The 9,310-nt window shown below is 38.6% G+C and overlaps 1 protein-coding gene across 2 annotated transcripts in view; it reads left to right on the plus strand.

The window, feature by feature from the left end:
- SLC35F1 (solute carrier family 35 member F1) overlaps positions 1-6,780 on the plus strand; it is a 410,408-nt gene extending 403,628 nt beyond the window's left edge. The window contains exons 8-9 of one of the 2 annotated variants that reach the window (NM_001415931.1): positions 3,137-3,362; positions 4,245-6,780. In NM_001415931.1, coding sequence (NP_001402860.1) covers positions 3,137-3,361 — 225 coding nt within the window. In that variant the 3' untranslated portion in view covers position 3,362; positions 4,245-6,780. Of the gene's footprint in view, positions 1-3,136 lie in introns of both variants that reach the window. The other variant, NM_001029858.4, reaches the window with a different exon arrangement.
- Positions 6,781-9,310: the final 2,530 nt, after the last annotated feature.

The raw sequence follows: 9,310 nt of genomic DNA on the forward strand, positions 1-9,310 counted from the left end.
CGAGGGCATTAGATTTACAAAATTTAACAGTATATTCTTTGTCATATTGATCAAGTCTAAAATCATAAATGGAGAGGAATCCAATCCTTCTACCTGGATACTCTGTATCCAATCCTTTCCTGTCTCTACCACTACATTATTTCAATTGCCAAATCCTGCCCACCCCAAGTTTATGACATCTCCAATGCCAATCCACTGATCAGCAGCCCTGAGTCTTCTATCCAGACTCTAGCTTTCTTCATTGTCTCTTCCAATTCATTGTCCTATCATACTCCTCTGAATGACCCCAGGTTTGAAGATGATTTTTGGAGTCAATGATTGTAGATTCATACTATGACTTCCTTCTTAATGGGTTTTTGTTGAGCATTTTATGTAGTAGAAAGGCACTGCATTATCTAGTTTAAAGCTAAAAAGTTTGAACTACTCCACTGGTACAGGCTGATTTTTTATTATGTTTCTTTCTTTAGTCTGAAACTTCCCCATTATTCATTCAAGATAAAAAAAAAATAGCAGATAATACTTAGTAGATGTCTACATGGTGCCAGGCTCTGTACTTGACATTGGTCAGACAAAACACAACCTCATAATCAGGAGACTATTGAAAAAAGACAATTTAGGCCAGGCGCGATGGCCCACGCCTGTAATCCTAACACTTTGGGAGGCCAAGGCAGGTGGATGGCTTAAGCCCAAGAATTCGAGACCAGCCTGAGCAACATGGCAAAATTCTTGTCTCTACAAAAAATACAAAAATTAGCCACGCATGGTGGCAGGCGCCTGTAGTTCCAGCTACTTGGGAAGCTGAGGTGGGAGGATCACATGATTCTGGAAGATTGATGCTGCGGTAAACCATGATTGTGCCACTGCATCCAGCCTAGGGTGACAGAGGTGAAACCCTGTCTCAAGAAAAAAAAGAAAAAAAGAAAATGTAATCAATGACTATATCAGATTATTATAAAATATATCAGTATTACTATGATAAAATAAGTGCTATAGTAATAACAAAAACAATAATAAGAATGAAGCTAATGTGAATTGAATGTTTACAGCAAGATAGGAACTATAAGTGTTCTACATGCCTTATCTAATTTAATATTTTAACCACCCTATAGTAGGTGTGCTTTACTGAGAAGGAAGCCTGGACCTGGAAAGGTTAAGAAATGTGTCCAGAATTGCAGCTAGAATGTGGCAGAGCTGAGATTTGAAGCCAGCTTGGTGGTTAGAATGCAGTGATAACTATAAAGCGCTCATTCTTCATCTCTCTACCTCCATATGCTGTAGTAGAGGCAGGTTCACACCTAAGATGCTTTGCTTGAAACTAGAGACGTATGGGTGGAGTTTTGAAAGTGAAAGTAATTAATAAAATATTTGAAATGATGGTAATGTTAGGAACAGACCTATTTCATTCACCGAAGTTTAAGGTAAAGGGTGAAGCTCCTGAATGTAGAATTTCAGGAAGCAAGTTTGAGTGTAAATAGGTTTTCTGAGATCATACACAACTGTACTGTTAGTGGTCTTCTTTTTATACCATTTTATTTTACAAATTTATGAATCAAAGAATGAGGCACATTCATTTTCATTGGGAAAAGTGAATTATGTCAAGTTAATTAAGTGAAGCTGTTACAAGCTGAGTCTAGTACATAAATCCATCTGAAGTAGGGTTATCATATGGTTTCAATGTGAAAAATAAAGGAATTGAGGGACAGGGTGTGGAGTGCTCTAGAAAGAAAATCAGAAAAGCATCTTTAGTCTTAGCTCCCTCACTACTGCAAAAAGAAAGAAAGAAAAAAACGCTGTAGCAGGGACGTTTAGCCGCAGGGATACCTTTTTTTATGAGCCATTTTCAAGACTCCCTTTCCTATTATTGAACTACAGTTAGAGCCATCTTTTAGCTTTGTACTATAGCCTTGTAACTTACTTCATAGAATCTCTGGGTCATTTTCCTGTTTTCCTTTCTTCCAACTTCCAATTAATTTTTGTCTTTTTAGCAGTTTTTAGTTCTTTCAGTATTAGCATTAAGGACAATAAAATTGATCCTTTTTTCCCCATGGACGCAGGATGTGGTCAAGACTGGGATATTAACTATTGACTGAAATGAGATTTGGCATGCTGTAAGTGCATTGTGTTGTTTTTGTCTATCTGTACCTGTTCGGCCACTGAGACAATTAAGTCCTAAATGGTAGGCATCAACATATTTTTCATTTCTCTTTCTCCAGTGCATAGTTCAATGTCTGATATAGAGAAGGCATATAAGAAACTATTCATTTAGTGAAGGAGTGAATGAAGGAATGAATGAACGAAACACCAGAAATGGCAATACTCATATTGTTACCATACTCTTTCCCCAGTAACTACTGAAGTAACTACTTCCAGTGTAACTATTCAAGAAGGTCCAGGAGTCATAATTTTCCAAAAACATATGTAAATTCTTGCGACTTGTGTAAACCAGTATTTTCTCTCCCTCTCCCCGCAAACTCTATGAATTGTCAAGCAAGTAGATTAGGAAGCAGAATGTTGTATATACAGTCCTGCTTGGTTTTGTTTACAGATTAGTGGGGCAGGAATGGAATGTTGTACTATTTCTTTCTGTTCAAGGATAATCTAATCTTGCAAAGATATTTACCAAAGTCAGTAACAATTCCTCTTAGGAAGACAAATAGTGTCTGAATTGGATTAAGGTGAAATGAGAGTGCCCTGATGCAGCTGTCAGTGAGCGGTTCATTGTTTATGGCTTCATTACAACCCTAAAGGGGATATCTGTATTTCTCTAGGTTTAATGAAGCCACAAACAACCAACTTTTTATTGACTGATACTGGAGATTTTTTGCTTTTAACTTGATGCATTTTAATTTGTGCTTAACTAGTTCTCGCACCATACCAGATCCTCAGATTGGCACTTTAGAGATGATTAGCTAAGTGTTCCTCTGTGTTAGCCACAGGGTCTAGGAAAGATAAGGAGAATCAATAGGACCAAGCCAGTTTATGATGAGAAAATTCATTCTCCATCAACGGTGTTGGCCAACTCATCATGCTGCCTGTTCTGAGAAGAAGCAGCTCTGCTCATGTTTCTGTGTGCCTCATTAATGTGTCAGTGGTTCTGCCCTGGCTGTCAAATGACTTTACTGTTGTGTTTTTTTAGTTTTCAGGACTTTATCTCCTGTCTTTCTTCACCATCCTCATTGGGCTGGTGCTCTACTCCTCCACCTCCACCTACATAGCCCAGGACCCCCGAGTGTATAAGCAGTTCCGCAATCCTTCAGGACCTGTTGTGGACTTACCGACCACAGCTCAGGTGGAACCCTCAGTCACCTACACCAGCCTGGGCCAGGAGACCGAAGAGGAGCCTCATGTTCGTGTGGCCTAGGGTGAGGCCCGCCCTGCCAACTGAGGCCAACTCATTGGCCATGTTTTTGCCCATCATCTCTGTATTGTACATAGAGAAAGGTATTTACTAGGTGCAGTTTACACAGGTGGACTGCAAGGTAGCAAATCCTCCAAAAGCTTGTGAAAGGAACAAGCTCAACATCACTGGAGACACAGGCTCTAATCCACCTGACTTGGAAGGATGCCTAGCTAACGTGTATCCTGATCACAACTCCCCTGCATTCATTACTGTGAAAATTTTTGAATCAAAAGCAAGTATTATTGTTATTATGATTTGTATTATTATTATTGCTGTTACTGTTATTACACCAACTTTCAGGAGGATGTTTTGTACTCCTGATGGAAACTATTGCCAGACCCACATGTAGTCAACATAAACCCCACTTTTCTATGGCAATTCACTTTTTAAGAGTCATACTTTATTTTTTTGCACAGACTATATGAGTGATGCATGCCACAGGAGCTCCACCCCTGAGAAGTTTCCTTTTCCTAGGGACCTGGTGGTTAATGGTTTCCTCTGTTACCTGTTGGATTGCCTGCTCAATAAGTATTTTGTGCTGTGACCTTTGTGGGGAGGGGCAACTGACCATATACTTCTCTATTCTAGGAATAGATATAAAAGAAACATTTTAGCCTTTTTATATTTCGATCTCTGATTACTCCAGGCCATTGCCTTTCTGTTGTGCCACGTGATTCTGCTAATCAAGTCCCTGTAATAACAGGATAAGGACTGTTCCATTACTGTGGCTTTTGGGAGCCCCCAGAAATAATATCATTTGTGTTTAGGACAATATATAATTATAAAATCTTTCTGCTCCTCCCTGTAGCCTCTCTTCAAAAACTATCTTTTATTTTTTTTCCAGATTTCCTTAGTGATAATATGGAAATTAATCAAGGCACTGGAAAAAGCCATGGTCCTCTGCCCTTTTAATTCTGTGACACCTTTTTAAAAATACACCAGCATGGAAATTACCTTTATTGTGGAAAATCATTGGTTGTGCCACCTCCTAACAAAGTCAAGGTGCTGATGTGGAGCAGTCTTTGAAAATGGCTTAATTGATTTGGCCACTTTGCAGTGGTAACAATGTCATCATTGAAAAAGTCTGGCATTTTGGTCATATTTGGCATCCATTCAATAACAGATATATTGACACGACATTCTTTTTTTTTTTTTTTTTTTTTTTTGAGACGGAGTCTCACTCTGTCGCCCAGGCTGGAGTGCGGTGGCACGATCTCAGCTCACTGCAACCTCCGCCTCCGGGATTCACACCATTCTCCTGCCTCAGCCTCCCGAGTAGCTGGGACTACAGGCACCTGCCACGACGCCCAGCTAATTTTTTGTATTTTTAGTAGAGATGGGGTTTCACCGTGTTAGCCAGGATGGTCTCGATCTCCTGACCTCGTGATCCGCCCACCTTGGCCTCCCGAAGTGCTGGGATTACAGGCGTGAGCCACTGCGCCCGGCCGACACGACATTCTTATGGACCCAGAGAATACTGCAGGATCCTGATAAGACCTTGAGTGATATGTCACTAGTCTAATCTGTTGCCCTTAAAATAGCCCTTTTTTCAAACACAGGAAATTAAGAAACACCACAGACCTCTATTATTTAGAATAGATTCTATGTGTCAGTATGTGATGTACTCTTTTAGTTTGACTGACTTCAATACCATTCAAAAAGATCCTCAATGGAGTTACAGGGTTTATAGGGGAAAAATACATGTTTATGAGACATTGGGCAATTCAAATCAACATGTGTTACATAAGCAAGCAAAGCAAAACACCAGTGGGGTCTCTGGAAAGTAAAAGGACAGACTACAGTAGAAGGACTGATCCCAGAGTGCCTGTACAAGGCCTAAATCTGGCAGGCAAAAGCATCCCACACTGTCTGTCAGCACCCACATGGCCTTTTTGCCTGCCTTCTATAACGGGTAAGTGGACCTACCCTTGGAGATAGAGAAGAAAAATTATCTTCTCTGATATTCGGATGTAATGGTCATCTCAGTTCAGCCCCCTAGGAAACATGTTTTATTTTCCATGGGGAAAATATCAGCGTTAAAGCTCTATCAAATCAAAACAACTTTGCCAACATCTTCTCTCTGCTACCTTTTAAACCAATTAAATACCTTTCTCTGAATATTTTGTCCATTCAGATCCGAAGACCTTTAAAGACTGTGGTTTTATTTTTGTGTTTACATTCCTTTGGTTTGAATAATTTGCTTGATTTATTGCATTTTTAGTATTTATTTTAAGCCAGATGTTTTCATCTTTGATTCATTTTTATGACATTAATTTGTAGACACTTAGTAAAGTCTTATGAGAAGCAAGTGGATGAAATTATCTCCAAGTCCACTCAGTAGACTGGAGTTTTTTAAAAATATAAATTTCCAAAAAGTTTGCAATCAACAGATGGCTAAAGGTTGCCATCTGAATTATTTTATAGGATATTTTAATTGACTCCATTGTATGGAAACCAAGTGTGAATGTTAAGATGAATTTGCCGTATACCCTTTATCATTCGGTGTCCTTGTACTCAGACTTTCATGTCCCTGGGTGACCTCAATGTGTTGGTTTGTCTCCATTTAGAAAGGTTGATAATATATTGAATTGTTCAAGATCAGGAGTTCCAGACTGACCCTCCAGGAAAAAAAAAATCGCAAAGAACAAATTCTTTTTCTGTGTAAAAAACACTGATCCTTTGGGAATGGGGCGGGAAATGGGAGTAGGACAACATTAACTTTAGCTGTTTTAGTTTCTGAGATTTCATAACCTCAGTAGACACCAGCAAAATTTTCAGTTTCTAACTCCACCACCAATCTCTCCTCAATGAATAAGACTTTAGCAATTTATATAGAATTTGATCAGGTAAGAGCGAACCACAATTCTCCTGAACCCTGCTAGAGATTAAGTGGTGGTTCTCACTTCCTCAATGAAAACTTGCACTGGGGACAGCGCTTGCCTTGGTCAGACCTTCCCACATCTACATACTCTCAAATACATGACCAGGTGATCAAGCAATGGAAAAATTTGCACCACCGTGTCCCATGAAATTGTTTCAATGTTTAGTTTAGATATTGCTAACTTGTGCTATTAACCTTTTGACAAGCGTGTAGTATTGTTTGTTTTGGGTTTCTTTTTGATTTATAACTATTTAGTAGTCCCCAGCTAGCTACCAGTACAGATTTTACCCCATGGGTAGGATTCTATTGTTAAGCCACATAACAAAGCACACTAATTCTGACAACACTGCAAATGGAAAATACGAACCAAAAAAAAGTTACACCGATAAGTTCAACAAACTGTCCATTTTTGATATTTGCATGCTCCCCTATGGACTGGCTGTGGCAATGTAATGCCTGTATAATGTTTTCAAATAAAAATAAATGCTTTATGAAAGCACCGAATTCTTGGTTTTCTTTTGTGTTTGTCTGCACTATGACAACCGTGGAAGCAGCTCCCTTGGGATACTAGAAATAGCAACAAAAGTAGATGGCTGGGTACATGTCGAAATAAAAACCAGAAAGAAAATATTTCCAAATTAGGAAGGGCACAATTGGTCTCAGAAGTATAGTTTCAAAAGCCAAATTAAACATGTTCATAGTTTGCAAAGTTAATTATTTATCTGGGTACATAAGAACACTCTGGGGCTTCAAGCCCACATTTAAAACACATGTAAGACAATATAAATTTACCCCCAAGGAAAAGTTTCTCATAAAGAAGAAAGTTCTGTGTATGCTGGCCTTGGCACACAACAGACTTAACGGATGAGCATTCTTCCAGAGTGCAATGTTTATAAAGCAGAGATTGCTCAGATTTCTGCTCAGAACTTACACAGCATCTTATAATCATCCCTCCTCTACTAACTGCTGTCACTCCCCATAAGTACCTAGATTATAAATCTATCCCCATAAGTACCTAGATTATAAATACATTTACATGTTCTTGTCAGTTTTTGCAATCAGACCTCAAAAATTAAATGAGCCAAGAAGACTGTGTGTCTGAGTTATATATTAAGAATAATGTTTAAAGAAAAACATTCATTTTTCAGGAAAAAAGGAATTGTAGGACACTAAGTGCTTTATAAAGTGCTCTCAGGTTGAGATCCATCATGAGCTGCTTTTATAAATAGTTGGAATAGCATGTACTTAACATAAGTAATTTGCTTGAGAAATGTGACTCTCAGTTTAAATCAGTTTTTTTCCTTGAAAAAAATGTCAATCTTTCTCTAAAGTATTGTTTACTTCCATTTAGTAAGCTCTTTGATCAAAGATGAAATAAAGTTGAACTTCAGCCCAGCCTCTGTCCAAATGTGCAGCAATTCCAATTGATTGGGGCTCAGATTGTATATACAATAAATGTATGTCATGTTTCCCCAATGAATTAAGATTTGTTTTCTTAAGAGAAAGAACCGGGTTTCCTAAAGAACTTGAAAGTCCTTGCAATGGTAAGAGAAGGAAGCACTTGAGTGATTCTCATGACTATTAGCATGAGAGAAAAATAGAAACAAGTAAAATTCAGCAGGAAGGCTGTAATTTATTATATTGTCTTAATGTTCCACAAGAAAACAAATCGTAATGTCTAAAATAACAAGAGCTGAAATTAGATCCAGTTTATATATTTTCAGTGCCCAGCAAAACACCTTGCACATGGAAGGCACTCATACATCTTGTTTTAAGGGAATCAAGCTTCTAAACCATAAATACAAAGTACAAGGGTAAGATATTCTGTTACAAAATGTTCCTTTCTTCTTCTATTACTCTCGAGTACTTTTTTTTTTCTGTAAAATTCCTGCATCTTGGAAAGGAAGAAATCACCATGTCCACTTAAATGCACCCTTCTAGGGAATTTTTTACAATCGCTTACAATATTTGGCCTTTCAAATTCAGGCCTGAGGTATGAAATAACAAAGCAAAGTTTTGTTTTGTTTTCTCCTGCAAATAGTGTTTTGAATTTATAATATTCCTTCTTAGTTATATACACTGATCTTTCTTTTTTCCTTCTTCCTTTTTTCCTTGATTTCTTCTCTTTTTTTTTTTTTGTTTATTTTTCGTTCTTTCTTTTTTCTGCAAGCATAAACAGAGGGCTCACTATGAGCCATCTAGGCAGGTTCCTTTCATTCTCTATATGCTTAAAAAAAAGAAAAAGAAAAAACATTTAATTCAAAAAAAATTATAATACAGCTGGAAAGCCCTTCCCCTACCAGACGGCCTTTCATCAGTGCCTGAAAGGACAAACCATTGTGCATCACTTTTCAGACAAGTTGCCTCCAAACACTACTACAGCCTGATTAACAAGGGAAGCTAATGATCAGAGGGTGGAGGTCTCTGCGAATAGGCTCTAAGATTAGGGCCATCCATCTGGATGGACAAAGGCCTGGTGTGGACAAAACTAAAATCTGTAAAAGCATGCAAATGAGCTTGTTCACTGAGCCTCAGCATTAAAGCTGGGACCAATCCCATAACGCTTGAAGGATAATTTCAGGACAGATAAAGGTAAATATTACTTCACACAATGGAGAATAATCTTCCTGAACTCATTGCCTCAAACTGCTGGTATAGGTTAAAAATGTAAATGTTAGGTCACCTAATAGATGACAGAGCTACAAGGGGACATTAAGTGGGCCGAGTATGCAATTCATTATCCAATTGTTAACACTTTCAAAAGTGAAAGTGGGCACTCAGTAATGATGCCTGGACAACAGGTGTAGACGTGGTCCATCCCAGATGAACCTGCCTGTGTGGTCACTGGCTTTAAGAAATGCACTGGTCCAGCCCTCCCACTGGGAGGCCAGCAGCACAGTGGATTGCTACATCTTCCTGACACTAGCTGTCACTGTCTGCAGTAGAATAGCGGGGTGGAGGCAACCACCTGCTCACAATGGTGAGGGTGTTTGTGGATTCTTACTGCTGGAAAGCAGCACACTGGCCTC

Source organism: Homo sapiens, chromosome 6, assembly GCF_000001405.40.
Source record: "Homo sapiens chromosome 6, GRCh38.p14 Primary Assembly".
NCBI lineage: Eukaryota > Metazoa > Chordata > Mammalia > Primates > Hominidae > Homo > Homo sapiens.